The sequence below is a fragment of the Homo sapiens genome, chromosome 7 (genome assembly GCF_000001405.40).
Source record: "Homo sapiens chromosome 7, GRCh38.p14 Primary Assembly".
Lineage (NCBI taxonomy): Eukaryota > Metazoa > Chordata > Mammalia > Primates > Hominidae > Homo > Homo sapiens.
The window spans coordinates 74,554,804-74,570,896 of record NC_000007.14 but is presented as its reverse complement, the minus strand read 5'-3'; the positions used below and the strand labels follow the sequence as shown (position 1 = coordinate 74,570,896).

General features: G+C 53.4%; 1 protein-coding gene across 20 annotated transcripts in view; it reads right to left on the bottom strand.

The window, feature by feature from the left end:
• The window catches only part of GTF2IRD1 (GTF2I repeat domain containing 1), a 148,700-nt gene that overhangs the window by 31,709 nt on the left and 100,898 nt on the right, over positions 1 to 16,093 (bottom strand). For 8 of the 20 annotated variants that reach the window (XM_047421058.1, NM_016328.3, XM_047421056.1 and 5 more), the window contains exons 18-22: positions 15,674 to 15,723; positions 15,403 to 15,504; positions 13,175 to 13,258; positions 11,853 to 12,036; positions 11,242 to 11,270 (exon numbers count right to left, since the gene is read on the bottom strand). In XM_047421058.1, the coding sequence (XP_047277014.1) occupies positions 11,242 to 11,270; positions 11,853 to 12,036; positions 13,175 to 13,258; positions 15,403 to 15,504; positions 15,674 to 15,723 (449 nt within the window). The remainder of the gene's footprint in view (positions 1 to 11,241; positions 11,271 to 11,852; positions 12,037 to 13,174; positions 13,259 to 15,402; positions 15,505 to 15,673; positions 15,724 to 16,093) is intronic. The other 12 variants (NM_001199207.2, NM_005685.4, XM_047421057.1 and 9 more) reach the window with 2 other exon arrangements.

The window sequence follows — 16,093 nt, the reverse complement described above, 5'->3', positions numbered from 1 at the left end:
ATTTGGTGGGTAGAGGGGCCCCTCCTTGGTTTTAGTCCTCCCCACAGCCCCTCCAAAACCGGCAGGGCTCTCTTGTCCCTTTCTCCTCTCCTGCAGCAAGCCCTATAGGAAGCGGCCTCTCTAGTGAGTGGCAGCTCAACCTCTGCTTAAATGCCTCCAGTGACGGGGAGTTCACTACCTTCCAAAGCTTTTAAAAAACGTTAACCACTGCTATTCAAGAACAATTCTAGAATTTTTTTTTGAAAGACAAGGTCTCATTCTGTCTCGCAGGCTAGAGTGCAGTGGTGTGATCACAGCTTACTGCAGCTTTGACTTCCTGGGCTCAAGCGATCCTCCCTCCTCAGCCTCCCGAGTACCTGAGACTACAGATGTGTGCCACAACACTGGCTCAATGTTTTCATTTTTTGTAGAGACAGGGTCTCACTATGTTGCCCAGGCTGGTCTCCTGGCTTCAAGCAATCCTCCTGCCTTGGCCTCCCGAAGTGCTGGGATTACAGGCAATGAGCCACTGTGTCTGGCTTTTTTTTTTTTTTTGAGACAGAGTCTTGCTCTGTCACCCAGGCTGGAGTGCAGTGGTGTGATCTCAGCTCATTGCAACCTCTGCGTCTCAGGTTCAAGCGATTCTCCTGCCTCAAGCTCCCGAGTAGCTGGGATTACAGGCGTCCGCCACCATGCCTGGCTAATTTTTGTATTTTTTGGTGGAGACAGGGTCTCACCATGTTGGCCAGGCTGGTTTCGAACTCCCGACCTCAGGTGATCTACCCGCCTCAGCCTCCCAAAGTCCTGGGATTACAGGCTGAGCCACCGCGCCCGGCCCTGCTGTTGCTTCTGAGGTTTGAAAACCGCTGCCTCAATGCTCCTGACTCAGCTCTTCTTACCCAAAGGTTCCCCCACCTCGTCTACTCTGTTCCTGCACAGTCGCCCTTTCCTCCGATGCCCCGGGCAGGTCTCTCTCTGCCAGCTCCACGCTTCTGAGAGGCCCCCAGCCTGCCTGCCACCCTGCCTGCACTAAATACCACTCAGGTTTCACTATGGGCCCCTGGATGTGTCTCACAAGCCCACAGACCCAGCCTTAGAGACGAGCACCACCATCACCCTTCCGGAACCTTCCGCCCTCTTCACACCCTGCTGCTGCCTCTAGATCCTAACCCCATCCATCGTGGGGCCCAGCTGCCCACTGCCTGGGTTCAGACCTTCTCAACACTCCCTGGCTTCTCTGCCCTAGTTTTGCCTTCTCTAATCCACCCTTGGTGGGTGGAAATATGGTTACCATGGTAACCTGAAGACAGCGCAAATCTGATCGTATCATTACAATGACTGGAAAAACCGCCAGTGCCACAAAATAAAGCTCAAGTTACTAGCTTTGCAGGCTAGGCCCTTTACCATTCCGGCAGCATTTTTGGGGGCTATTCTCCATCCCCCCCTCACTGCACAACCCCACCTGGCCACCCCAGGCTCAGGCCGCAGAACAGCATAGACCAGGGAGTGGCTTTGGCCTCATGCTAACTACCTGATTTTTGTCTGTTTCAGGCTGTTTGCTCAGTTACAAAATGGGAAGGAAGGACAACAGCACCCACCTCACAGGCTAAGCGTCTAAGAGGCTGTGTGTGAAAAGCCCACAGCACAGGGTCTGGCACGCGTGGACGTGCGGGATGGGAGGAGGGGATTTCCCAGCTCCTAATCTCTGCAGGGACTGGCCCCTGGCCTAGGGAACACCAGCTCCTCAGGGAGGGGGAGCTTTCCCTGACCCCCCGATGTGTGGCAGGCAGAGGAGAGTGAGCTACTTCTGGGAGGGGAGTTGGGGGAAAGGGCAAGTTAGTCTTTACTGAGGGTGGCAGTGAGCTGGCATTTTGGTCTCACCTCGGCTGCAGAAACCCACCCTGCTCCCGTCTTATTTCCTGGGGATTTCAGCTGTGTGCAGGCACAGATGCGTCATCCAAGTGCCCCACACGTACCTTGACCTCTTCTCCTCCCTCTGGCCAGTCCTGAACCTCTTGGTGATCCATGGCGGCACCTCTGTGTCCCACATCCTTCTCTGGCCATCTCCTTCCCTCCTTCCAGCCCTCCCTCTAGAAACCTGACCCCAACTGTCCTTCATCCCCATGGGGACATTTAGTCCACTGACTCATCACCCTCCCCTGTCCCTCCCTGAGAGAAGGAGCAGGCAGAGAGGAGCTTGCATGAGCATTCAGCAACCCTCTTCCACCCATCCTGTTTCTTTCTTTTTCTTCTTCTTCTTCTTCTTTTTTGAGACAGAGTCTCGCTCTGTCGCACAGGCTGGAGTGCAGTGGCACAATCTCGGCTCACTGCAAGTTCCGCCTCCCGGGTTCACGCCATTCTCCTGACTCAGCCTCCCAAGTAGCTGGGACTACAGGTGCCCGCCATCACGCCCAGCTAATTTTTTGTATTTTTAGTAGAGACGGGGTTTCACTGTGTTAGCCAGGATGGTCTTGATCTCCTGACCTTGTGATCTGCCCGCCTGGGCCTCCCAAAGTGCTGGGATTATAGGCGTGAGCCACCACGCCCGGCCCTTTCTCCTTCTTTTTTTTTTTTTTTTTTAAATAGAGATGCAGTCTTGTTATGTGGCTGGTCTCAAACTCCTGGGCTCAAGTGATCCTACTGCCTCGGCCTCCCAAAGTGCTGGATTACAGGCGTGAGCCACCACACCCAGCTCCGTTCCCTTTCTAAGCAGGGTGCTCCTTTTCTTGCCATTCCCCCCATCCTCCTTCCTCTCCCACAGCTCACTTCCCTCTCTACTGAATCTGCTGAAGATCATGCAGCTGCTGTTCCTACCTCTAAAACCCTCTCTTGGCTGGGTGTGGTGGGTCATATATGTAATCCCAGCACTTTGGGAGGCTGAGGCAGGTGGATCATTTGAGGTCAGGAGTTTGACACCGGCTTGGCCAACATGGTGAAACCCCATCTCTACTAAAAAATACAAAAAATAGTCGGGCGCGATAGCACGCGCCTGTAATCCCAGCTACTCGGGAGGCTGAGGCAGGAGAATCACTTGAACCCGGGAGGCGGGGGTTGCAGTGAGCCGAGATCACGCCACTGCACTCCAGCCTGGGCAATAGAGCGAGACTCTGTCCCCTCCCTCCACCAAAAAAAAGAAAGCCCTCTCTGCAGCCATTCCACTCTCAACTCTTGTTCATTCTCTCCTGCCCTCTAAAAGGTGATCCTTTTAGACCTGACCCCCCCGATGTGTGGCAGGCAGAGGAGAGCAAGCTACTTCTGGGAGGGGAGTTGGGGGAAAGGGCAAGTTAGTCTTTACTGAGGGTGGCAGTGAGCTGGCACTTTGGTGCTTGGTCCTTGGCAGATTCAATCACTTGCCTTTCTCATTGTCTCTTGAGCCCACTATTCCACTCTGGTCCCCACCACTTCCCCCAAAATTGCTCTGAACCATCCCACTGCAACCTGTTGCTTAGCACCTCCGTCTACTCTCAGGCATTAGGACTGACCTCCCAGCAGAGGCTGGTGCAACCAATCACCCCCTTCAGTAAGTTTCTCCCTGGGCTTCACCTGCGGACTTTCCACCTCTCTCTCCTTTTTTTTTTCTTTTTTATTTTTGAGACAGGGTCTCGCTGTGTCGCCGGGTTGGAGTGCTGTGGTGCAATCTCAGTTCACTGCAACCTCTGCCTCCCGGGTTCAAGCGATTCTCCTGCCTCAGGCTCCCAAGTAGCTGGGATTACAGGCATGCGCCACCATGCCCAGCGAATTTTTGTATTTTTAGTAGAGACGGGGTTTCACCATGCTGGCCAGGATGGTCTTGATCTCCTGACCTTGTGATCCGCCTGCCTCAGCCTCCCAAAGTGCTAGGATTACAGGCGTGAGCCACTGCGCCTGGCCCTCCATACATTTTTGTTGTACAAATAAATGAACTCAAAGGATTAACTACAAGCCTAAAGGTTTACACAGGCAGGACCAGTGTAATAGCTGCTGGTAGCCAGGAGGGGACAGCAAAGAGCCACCCTGTGTGGATGAGACCAGAGGGGTGGTGGGAAAGAGGGCGTGGCTGCAACCCACTTCAGGGACACACAACAAGCCCTAGGCTAGTGGTAGAGCCTGCCCTGGGTTCCGAAGTATAATAAAATGGTAAAGACTTAGGTTCAAATCTCTACCACACTACTGTGTGACCTTGAGAAAGCTGCTTAATCTCTCTGAGCCTCAGTCCCCTCCAATAAGGCCAGCTACTTGGGGAGATGACGTGGTAACGTGAGTGGGCTTTGTAACCGGCAAATCGTAAGTATGACGTGGTCAGGCATGGTGGCTCACACCTGTAATCCCAGCAGTTTGGGAAGCCGAGGCGGGTGGATCGCCTGAGGTCAGGAGTTCGAGACCAGCCTGGCCAACATGGCAAAACCCCGTCTCTACTAAAATAGGAAAATTAGCCTGGCATGGTGGCGGGCACCTGTAATCCCAGCTACTTGGGAGGCTGAGGCAGGAAAATTGCTTGAACTCGGGAGGCGGAGGTTACGGTGAGTTGAGATCACACGACTGCAGTCCAGCCTGGGGGACAGAGCGAGACTCCGTCTCAAAAAAAAGTGTGACGTGAGTGTTAGGTGTCTGTGGTGTGAGGGGCTGCTCAAATGTCCATAACTGGGGGACAGGGTAGTTACATAACCATGATACAGCCTGAAGAGGGAACAGAGCTTTTTAAAGACATGGGAACATGTTTATGTTTTAAGGTTAAATGTGTAAATTTATAGAAAGAAGAACAGTGAGATGTAAAATTAATAAGCTTGGGGGGAAATCTGGAAGAAATGTATCATCATAAAAATGAACAGCCATCTGGGTTGTTAGATTTCTGTATTTTCCAAATTTCTACCATGGGCATATATTTGCATTTCTCTTTAGGGTGTGTGTGTGTGTGTGTGTGTGTGTGTGTGTTTGTGTGTCTTTTAGAGAGAGGGTCTTACTCTGTCACTCAGGTTGAAGTGAGGTGATGTGAGCTTTGTGATCATAGCTCGCTGCAGCCTCAAACTCCTGGGCTCAAGTGACCCTCCTGCCTCAGCCTCCTGGGTAGCTAGGACTACAGGCAAGCGCCACCACCCACCACCATGCCCAGCTAATTAAAAAAAATTTTTTTTGTAGAGATGGGTTCTCACTATGCTGCCCAGGCTGATCTCCAACTCCTGGCTTCAAGCAATCCTCCTGCACTGGCCTCCCAAAGCGCTGGGATTATAGGCATGAGCCACCATGCCCGACCCCCTTTAGGTTTTTATGACCTACTAGAATGTTCTTCGGATGGAATATTACAGCAGCTACCTGGGTAGAGGGTTTCTCCCGCCTTAGTCACCACCGCTTCTTCCCAGCATATCCTGAACAGCCCCCGTTAGCTGTCCTGGGTTTTCTTTTTTCTTTCTTTTTTTGTGACCGGGTTGTGCTCTGTTGCCCAAGCTGGAGTGCAATGGCGCGATCTTGGCTCACTGCAACCTCTGCCTCCCAGGTTCAAGTGATTCTCCTGCCTTAGCCTCCTAAGTAGCTGGGATTACAGGAGTGCACCACCATGCCTGGCTAATTTTTGTATTTTTAGTAGAGTTGGGGTTTCACCATGTTGCCCAGGCTGGTCTCGAACTCCTGACTTTACGTGATCCACCCACCTTGGCCTCCCAAAGTGCTGGGATTACAGGCATGAGCCACCGCGCCTGGCAGTCTCCCTAATTTAATTCAGTGCCGCTGCAGGCAGGTGGGTGTGGCCTGGTTGGGCAGTATAGAGCTACCAGCTACCAATGGCGTTCAGCCCCCAGGGTCGAGCGTGGGTTGTCTCAGCCCCTTGCGGGCAGGGCTGGAGTTCCTTCTGGTATGAGTTGGGGGACCCAGTCCCCCCCATCCCTCTGCAACCCGAGGCCCCCCACCAGGTCCCCTCCAGTTCAGTCTGGTGCTTTCTAGTACCCCTGGCCCCCAGAAACCCCTGGCCCACAGCTCCCTTGACCTGAGGCCTGAAATTCACCCACTGCCCTCTGAGGCTTGGTCCAAGTCCAAGTATGCCTTCCTCTCAAGCTAGACGCCTGCCCGCCACTCAGCATGTCAGAGCAGGCAGGGCCTCTAGATTTTAGTGGGGAAACTGAGGCACTGAAGGCAAACGTGATGTCCTCAGCTGGGAAAATATTAAAGACATTCTGGGCTTATCTCTCTCTCTCTCTCTTTTTTAGAGACAAGACCTCGCTCTGTCACACACACTGGAATTATGGCTCCCTGCAGCCTCCAACTCCTAGGCTCGAGGGATCCTCCCGCCTCAGCCTCCCGAGTAGCTGGGAATACAGTCGTTCGTCCCCACCATGTCTGGCTAATTTAAAAAAATGTCTTTGCAGGATGGGATCTTGCTATGTTACCCAGGCTGGTCTCAAACTCCTGGGCTCAAGTGATTTTCCCATCTTGGCCTCCCAAAATGCTGGGATTATAGGTATAAGCCACCACGTCTGGCCTGAGTCATCTCTTTTGACCCAGAACAAAACCAGTCCAGGAGTGGCTGTACTCTCACCCTACACTGGGGAGGCTCACAGCTCTAGGGTGCAGTGGGGCTCTTGCAATTTAATGACTGATTCATCTTCAAAAAAGCACAATCTCAGCCAGGTGCGGTGGCTCACGCCTGTAATCCCAACACTCTGGGAGGCTGAGGCGGGCTGATCACCTGAGGTCAGAAGTTTGAGATCAGCCTGGCCAACATGGTGAAACCCCGTCTCTACTCAAAATACAAAAATTAGCCGAGTGTCATGGTGCACACCTGTAATTCCAGCTACTCAGGAGGCTGAGGCAGGCGAATCGCTTGAACTCGGGAGGTGGAGGTTGCAGTGAGCCAAGATTGTGCCATTGCACTCCAGCCTGGGCAACAAGAAGAGAAACTCCATCTTAAAACAAAAAAACAAAACAAAACAAAAACAAAAAAGCACAATCTCTTTCAGAATTTTTACCTTCTCGGGGTGGTTCTGTTAGGAAAGGCTTCCATGGGAACCTTCAATAAGTGACCTAAAAAAATCTCAGAGCCATTCTTTTTATTTTTATTTTTTCCAGATGGCGTCATGCTCTGTCACCCAGGCTGGAGTGCAGTTGCACAATCTCAGCTCACTGCAACCTCCACCTCCTGGGCTCAAGCCATCCTCCTGCTTCGGCCTCCTGAGTAGCTGAGACTACAGGTGCGTGCCACCGTGCCTGGCTAATTTTTAATTTTTTTGTAGAGACGGGGTCTTGTTATGTTGCCCAGGCTGGCCTCAAACTCTTGGCCTCAAGTGATCCTCCTACCTTGGCCTCCCAAAGTGCTAGGATTACAGGGGTGAACCACTGTTCCTGGTTTAGAGCCATTCTTTTTTTTTTTTTCTGAGACGGAGTTTCACTCTTGTTGCCCAGGCTGGAGTGCAATGGTGTGATCTTGGCTGACTGCAACCTCCGCCTTCAAGTTTCAAGCGATTCTCCTGCCTCAGCCTCCCGAGTAGCTGGGATTAGAGGCACCCGCCACCATGCCCAGCTAATTTTTTATTTTTAGTAGAGACGGGGTTTCACCATGTTGGCCAGGCTGGTCTCGAACTCCTGACCTCGTGATCTGCCTACTTCGGCCTCCCAAAGTGCTGGAATTACAGGCGTGAGCCACAGCACCAGGCCCTAGAGCCATTCTTAACAGGGTTTGTCCCCCTGGAAAGTTCCCGAAGCCTCACCCTCCTGGGAATTCCCTGCTGGGTGCCACAGTCATCTCTTCACCACTCGGTTTCCACTCTCCCATCTTTGCACCGAGATCCCACCGTTAGGCCTTTTTCAAGCACGGACCTTCTCATGCTCAGTCTCTCTGCGGTGTGGAAGTGTCTACTGAGTGGGCCTCACAGAAGGTTCCAGGCCCTAGTGCAAGCTCAAGGGAAATGATGATCCAAAATGGACTCAGATAAAGTTTCTGCCACTCTGCATTGGGGGCTTTTGGTAGGAGTCCAGTTCAATTTTAGAAAAATAAAAATACATGTCTCGCACTTCTGAGTTTGCAGACTAAGGTCCATTCTGTATTTGCAAACGAGGACAAAAAGAAAGGCGGCTGAATGCGGTGGCTCACGCCTGTAATCCCAGCACTTTGGGAGGTCAAGATGGGCGGATCACTTGAGGCTGGCCAGGAGTTCGAGACCAGCCTGGTCAACCAGCCTGGACTTTCATTGTGTTAGGGTGCCTACAAATACAAAAATTTAGCTGGATGCTGTGGCACACGCCTATAATCTCAGCTACTCAGGAGGCTGAGGCAGGAGAATCATTTGAACCTGGGAGGCGGAGGTTACAGTGAACCAGGATCACACCATTGCACTCTAGCCTGGGCAACAAGAGCTAAATTCCATCTCAAAAAAAAAAAAAAAAAAAAAAAAAAAAAGAGGGCAATTGGCGGAAAATAGTCCTCCCAGCTAACCTAGCACTGCCCATCTTTTCCCATATTCAGATCACATGGTGAGGCAGGTGTGCTTGTCCATCTTGGCGGTAAGGAAGTGAAGGCTCAGATTCCCATGGCTAGTCAGGCGGGTACAGGGACTTGAATGAGGCGGCACTTTCCCATGGCCCACATGCTGCCTAAGACCCTGAAGGCTGACTCCTGGGCACTGTCCCCAGCCACCCGCCTCTCTGCAACTATCTGCCACCCCTCCACCTGCCCTGGGACACCTGCCTCCAGATGAAGGGGTCTGCTATTTCCCCTGCCTCCCCCAGCAGACCCCAGCTTCCACTCCGATTCACCCTGGAACTGCCGGTGCTGGCCCAGGCCAGGCTTCGGGAACCGTGTGAGGGAGAGTTTGAGAAAAGCCCATTCTGGTGCAGAAGTAGCACTCAGTGACCTCTGGTGAACCCTCAGAGACTCCCAGGAGCCTGGACGTGTTCCCAGCCCAGCATGACTAGTGGCATGAGTAAGTGTGGATACCTGGTGGATACCTGGCTTGGGTGCCAACGCCTGGAAAGGGGCTGGCAGGTCCATCCCTGAGGGCTGAGGCCACGACCACCTGCTAGCCCTGGGACACAGAGTATTAACACATCACTCACACCGAGCCTCAGTCTCCCCCTCTGTAAGGTGGGCTCTAGCGTCAACCTCCTAGCTATGAAGACTAAATGAGATGCCTCCTCTGTCTGCACTCTGCTGTAACCCTAGTTCCTCTAGAATACCACCTTGTCCCAGCAGGACCTCCCAAAATATGTGTGAAAGGCACCCGCATAAAGCACCAGTGCAGGGCCAGAAACCCAGTGACCTCTCAGCCGGGTGTCCACTGGAGCCACACTCACTGCACTGTGCTGCTGCAGCTTCCACTCTCTCCACCTTTCCAACATCATCTGACCACTCTGCCCCTCCGAGAGCTCCGGAAACACACTTCTGGCATCCAGTGACCCCCCAACCCCTGCCGTTCACCCCGCCAAACCCACCCTCCTCTCTGCCTCTCAAAGTCCCATCTTCCCCTGAGGCCCAAGCAGGGCCATCCTTACTCCAGGAAACCCTCTCCAACTACCCCTCACCCTCCTGATCCCCCTTCTGGGGGTTCCCGTGGCCTGTCAGCAGCCGCCACATCACTGTACCCTAAGTTCTTTTTTTTTTTTTTTTTTTGAGACAATCTAGTCCCGTCGCCCAAGGTGGAGTGCAGTCGCGCGATCTCGGCTCACTGCAACCTCTGCCTCCCGGGTTCAAGTGATTCTCCTGCCTCAGCCTCCCAAGTAGCTGGGATTACAGGTGTGCGCCACCACACCTGGCTAATTTTGGGATTTTAAATAGACATGGGGTTTCACCATGTTGGTCAGGCTGATCTCGAACTCCTGACCTCAAGTGATCCTCCTGCCTTGGCTTCCCAAAGTGCTGGGATTACAGGTGTGAGCCACCGTGCCTGGCCCGCCCTGGAGGCTCTGGCCAGCCCTTAGTGCTTGCCAAGTGGCATGTCGCCCCGCAGGGACAGCCCCTGCAAATCTGGGTTTGGGATCACCCTGCAGGGACAGCCCCTGCAAATCTGGGTTTGGGAGGCCAGGACACAGTCCATGGTGGAGACAGAAGTGGATGGGTGCCTTAAAAAGGGTCAGGAGGTCGGGTGTGGTGGCTCATGCCTGTAATCCCAGCACTTTGGGAGGCTGAGGCAGGAGGATCACTTGAGGCCAGGAGTTTGAGACCAGCCTAGCCAATATGGTGAAACCCAGCTCTACTAAAAACACAAAAATTAGCCGGGCATGGTGGTGCCCACCTATAATCCCAGCTACTTGGTAGGCTGAGGCAGAATAGCTTGAACCTGGGAGGTGGAGTTTGCAGTGAGCAGAGATAGTGCCATTGCATTCCAGCCTGGGCAACAAAGTGAGACTTGGTCTGTCTCTGTCTCTCTCTCTCTCTATATAATATTTTTTATTATATATATAATATTTTTAATTATATATAATATTTTAATTATATAAATATTTTTAATTATATATAATATTTTTATTATATATATTTTTTATTATGTATATATTTTATTATATATATAAAATATTTTTTTAAAAAGGGTCAGGAGAGGCACTGCACTGTTTAAGGCAGGGTAGGCGCCACCCACATCTTACCAACATGCTTGTGGTCCCCATGCAGACACCCCTCCTTCTGCGGTTAGGAACCCACTCACCTCCAACCTCGCCTATTCACTGAGGTCAACCAGAGCCCCTTTATCAGGAGGAGCAGGTGCACTGACTCGGCCTGGCCCCTCCCTCCTGAACCCAGACTGGGTAAAACTTAGAAGTCACTGACGCCACCACCCCTTTCTCTGTCCCAGGATCTGGGGCCACATTCAAGCTTAGTCTTCCTCCATCTACCTGGGGCAGGAGCCCAGGTAAGGTGGCTAAACAGAAGGGCAGAGGCCTAGGCCGGGCGCAGTGGCTCACGCCTGTAATCCCAACGCTTTGGGAGGCCGAGGTGGGTGGATCACTTGAGGTCAGGAGTTTGAGACCAGCCCTGGCCAACATGGTGAAACCCCGTCTCTACCAAAAATACAAAAAATAGCCAGGTATGGTGACAATTGCCTGTAATCCCAGCTACTCAGGAGTCTGAGGCAGGAGAATTGCTTGAATCCAGGAGGTGGAGGTTGCAGTGAACCGAGATGAAGCCACTGCACTCCAGCCTGGGTGACAGAGAAGGACTCTGCCTCAGAAAAAAAAAAAAGAAAGGCAGGGGCCTGGCTTCTGTTCCCAGACCCCAGAACCTGTGCCCCACAGCAGGCTTAGCTCCAGTCCCCAGCACCACGATCGGGCCCTATTCCCAGTGCCCCCTCCACAGCCAGTGCCTCTTACCAGGCTTTGGGATGAGTCCTTGGAAAGGCCTAGAAGAGAAACAGAGGCAGGGGTGTCATGGGGAGGGCCTGGGGGATGAGGAAGACACCCCTGGGATTCAGTGGCCTCGGTCTCCCCTGGGAGCACCCCAGACCTACAGCAGCAGAATCTGCATTTTAACAAGCTGCCCTGGGGCTCTGTGTGTGCGGGACACTGAGACAATGTGGCAGGGTGCTGGCATTGGCAGTGTCACTCTGCAGGACGCAGACCTGGGCCTTGTGCAGGCTTTGCCCTGGCTGGCCCCGGGACCTTGGGCAAATCCCTCTGATGGGGGCTGAATACCTTTCCCGGGGGCTGGGGGTGCAGTGAGCGGGTGTTGCTGAACAGGTTGAAGATGCCCTCAAAGGCTGCCCTTGCCATGGGGGGGTGACCAGTCCCACTTCTGAAGGGCTCCCTTCACTTGGGCTGGCCTGCAGTCCCTCTCCAACCACCCCCAGGACCCAGGATGGTGCCAGGAGAGCCACCTTGTCCAGGGGGGAGGGCAGGACCTAGGGAAAGGCTAAGGATTCGCAGGTGCAAGCTCCCATCTGAGCTAGTCCTGCCTCTTCACCCTCACCCTTCCCACTGAGTACCTGGTGACTGTGAACTTGATCTTGTCAGCCACAGCAAGAATCCTCTCCAGGTTCTGGGAGCCGAAGGTACAGGGCTTTCGGAACGGGATTCCTGGGGGCAGCCCCTCGATGATCACGGAGCCGGGGTTACTCTTGATCCGCTTGTAGGGGACCTGGACCGGGTACTTGATGCCCAAGGCTTCCCCTGTGGGCGAGAGGCAGGGTCCTGCCCGTCAGGAGTGAGAGGCAGCGTGGGGTGTGTGTACATGGGATTGCGGGGATGTGATGGAAAGACATGCGTGCAGGAGAGTGAATGGTACGAGAAAGCTCTTATGTAGTGTAGCACTGTGGAAAGGTATAGGCATTACAATCTGAGCTGTTTGATCAGAACATAAAAAAAAGGCCAGCATGGTGGCTTATGCCCGTAATCCCAGCATTTTGGGGAACCAAGGCAGGAGGATCTCTTAAGTCTAAGAGTTCGAGATCAGCCTGGGCAACACAGCAAGACCCTGTCTTTACTAAAAATTTCTAAAAACTAGTTGGGCATGGTAGTGCCCAGTGGGGTGTAGTTCCAGCCACTTGGGAGGCTGAGGCAGGAGGATTGCTTGAGCCCAGGAGTTTGAGGCTGTAGTGAACCATGATCACGCCACTGTACTCCAGCATGGGTGACAGAGTGAGACCCTGTCTCAAAAAAAAAAAAAAAAAAAAAAAAAAAAAAGAAACGAAAGAAAAAGCCACACCAATATGCTCCCATGTCATATGCTCCATTTTTTTTTTTTTTTTTTTGAGACGGAGTTTCGCTTTTGTTGCCTAGGCTGGAATGCAATGGCGCGATCTCAGCTCACTGCAACCTCCCCCTCGCAGGCTCAAGCGATTCTCCTGCTTCAGCTTCCTGAGTAGCTGGGACCACAGGTGTGCACCACTGCACCTGGCTAATTTCTTTTTTGTGTTTTTGGTAGAGATGGGGTTTTGCCATGTTGCCCAGGCTGGCCTCGAACTCCTGAGCTCAAGTGATCCACCTGCCTCAGCCTCCAAAAGTGCTGGGATTACAGGCAGGAGCCACTGTGCCGGGCCCTTGTCTATTAAATTCTGTGTGTAGTTCTTGAAAGTGTATCTCACCTCATTGGTCTGCAAGGCTCATGAGTACAGGGACTGTGTCTGTTTTATTCACAGCAATATCCCCAGTGCCTGAGACAGTGCCTGGCACGTAGTATATGCTCAAGAAATACATGTAAAGGGGTGAATTGTTTCCCCAGAAATGCCCTCGGCTGGAACTGGGAAGCCTCCCACTTCTCTGTGCACAGCAGCTGCGTGTCCCTCCCCGGGGGTTCTGCACTGCTTACCGTATTTCTTATTGAAAAGGTCCTGGACCTGCTCCCTTAGTGTGTTGGCGATGTCGATCCGTGAGAGCCTCGCGTCATAATTTTCTGCAAAGCGCAAAACGATTATGGGTTTGGGCTGTTGAGTGAAAAAGCACTTGGTGACTTTTAAGGAAGATGATTTTCTAATTATGGGGAACTCCTTCTCCGGCAATTAAAGGATCTTTGGAGTGGGCCCCTCAGGTCCTTCAGCACCGACATGTTGATGGAGATGTCTTTTTTTCAGAAGGACATGCACTGTTGCCACAACAGTGATGAGTTGGAAATTAAGTTAATTGATGACATTTGAAAACCACCAAACCAATAAATAAGCCCCGGAGGGGAGGGACACCATAGAGTACGGAGTCCTGTGCCCTGGGCTGGCAGGCAGGGGGCGGGGGCTTCATGAAGTCACTAGGGGGCTGGAGACAAGCGAGGGAATGGAAGCCCAGCTGATCTAGCAGATGGAGGAGGATGGGCAGTCCCCACAGACACAGGGGATGGGCCTGGCGGCTCCCAATGGAACCTCCACCTCCCAGGCTCAGGCGATTCTCCTGCTTCAGCCTTCTGAGTAGCTGGGACCACAGGCGTGCACCACCGCACCTGGCTAATTTCTTTTTTGTGTTTTTGGTAGAGATGGGGTTTCGCCATGTTGCCCAGGCTGGCCTCGAACCCCCAAGCTCAAGTGATCTGCCTGCCTCAGCCTCCAAAAGTGCTGGGATTACAGGCATGAGCCACCAAGACACCCTCACCCAGAAAGTGTTCATTAAAAACGCCCAAGTGTGACCGGGCGCGGCGGCTCATGCCTGTAACCCCAGCATTTTGGGAAGCTGAGGCAGGAGGATCACCTGAGGGCAGGAGTTGGAAACCAGCCTGGCCAATGTGGTGAAACCCTATCTCTACTAAAAATACAAAAATTAGCCAGGCATGGTGGTGCGTACCTGTAATCCCAGCTACTTGGGAGGCTGAGGCAAGAGAACCCCTTGAACCTGGGAGGTGGAGGTTGTAGTGAGCCAAGATCGCACCACTGCACTCCAGCCTGGGTGACAGAGCAAGACTCTGTCTCAAAAAAAAAAAAAAAAAAAAAGCTGGGTGCAGTGGTTCATGCCTGTAATCCCAACACTTTGGGAGGCTGAGGTGGGCAGATCATCTGAGGTCAGGAGCTCGAGACCAGCCTGTCCAACATGGTGAAACCCCGTCTCTACTAAAAAATACAAAAATTAGCCGGGTGTGGTGGCACGTGCCTATAATCCCAGCTACTTGGGAGCCTGAGGCAGGAGAATTGCTTGAACCCGGGAAGCGGAGGTTGCAGTGGGCTGAGATCACGCCATTGCACTCCAGCCTGGGCAACAAGAGTAAAACTCCATCCAAACAAACAAACAAAGACAAGTGCCAGCATGTGCTGGAGGGATCCCAGACCACCATCTCTCTCTCTCTCTCTCTTTCTTTTTTTTTTGAGACAGGGTCTTGCTCTGTCACCCAGGCTGGAGTGCAGTGGCATGATCTCGGCTCACTGCAATCTCCGCCTCCCAGGTTCAAGCGATTCTCCCGCCTTAGCCTCCCTAGTAGCTGGGATCACAGGTGCACGCCACCTCGCCCAACTAATTCTTGTATTTTTTTGGTAGACACGGGGTTTCACCATGTTGGCCAGGCTGGTCTTGAACTCCTGGCCTCAAGTGATCCACCTGCCTCGGCCGCCCAAAGTGCTGGGATTACAGGCGTGAGCCACTGCACTCGGCCTCTGATTTCTTTTCTTAAAAATAGACATAGAGACGGGTTCTATGTTGTCCAGGCTTGTCTCGAGCTCCCAGCCTCAAGCGATCCTCCCACCTTGACCTTCCCAAGTGCTGAGATTACAGGCGTGAGGTGCCGCGTCTGGCTCCTATTCTGATTTCAAAGCACTAAGACCACAGCTGATTGCTGAAAAAGGAGTGGGCGTGTCAGCTACCTCTGGGGGGTGGGGCAGGGAGGGGGCAGGCAGGCTCCTGGGCTCCCCCGACCGTCCACCTGTAGGCACCCCCTCTCCCCTGGAGTCTCTAACACAGAGCTGGCAGGGTACAGCCGGGCCTGGGCTGCCAACCTGGCTTGCCTGGTCCCTTAGGCCCTGAAGTTGGGGGCCAGCTCCTCCCCACTTCCAGCCTGGCCCTCCAAACCCAAACCAGGTCAATGTCCTGGTGCTGGGACAACAGACCTCCCCGTGAGCTCAACCTTACCTTGAAAGCCCTGTCTCTTCAGGCTCTCGTCCACCAGAGGGTCCCCGGAATCCCTCTCTGGGGGCAGGGCAGGGGGAGAGAAGCCAAGTGAGGAGGCAGTTCCTGGGACCCAAGATGGCATCGTTAGGGGAAACCCAATGTGGGGGTGTGGGGAGAATGCCAGGGCCAGGATGGGAGCAGGACAGAGGCAGCAGGAGGAGGGGCTGGTGGCAGAGGCCTGGGGCCCTCCCTTGCCCGCCCACACCATGGCTCCCGACCCCGCGCTGGGTACCTTGACTATCCATGATGGGCTCTTTGACTCCCTCAGTGAGCAGCTCGGGCCTGGAAAACACAAGCGAGGCTATCACAGAGGTCCCTCCAAGCATCTCTGGGACTGCTCAGCCCTCCTCTCTGGGCCTCAGTCTACACAGCCCTGCAATGGACCCTTCTGGCTATGCATAGTTCAGGCCTGGAGTCCCTGCCGCCCCACATGTGGAATCTGGGGGGCTGCGCTGGGCTTGAAGGATCCAGCTGGGAGTGAGACCCCCCCCAGTCCTGAACAGGTCCATCTGATATCTCACTCCTGCTCCAGGGACATTGCACGATTGTCACTGCCTGGGATTGGAGCAGGTGGCCTCAGGTGGCCTCCCGTGGAGCTGGTTTAAAGTGTAGAAACAAGGTCAGGTGCAGTAGCTCACGCCTGTAATCCCAG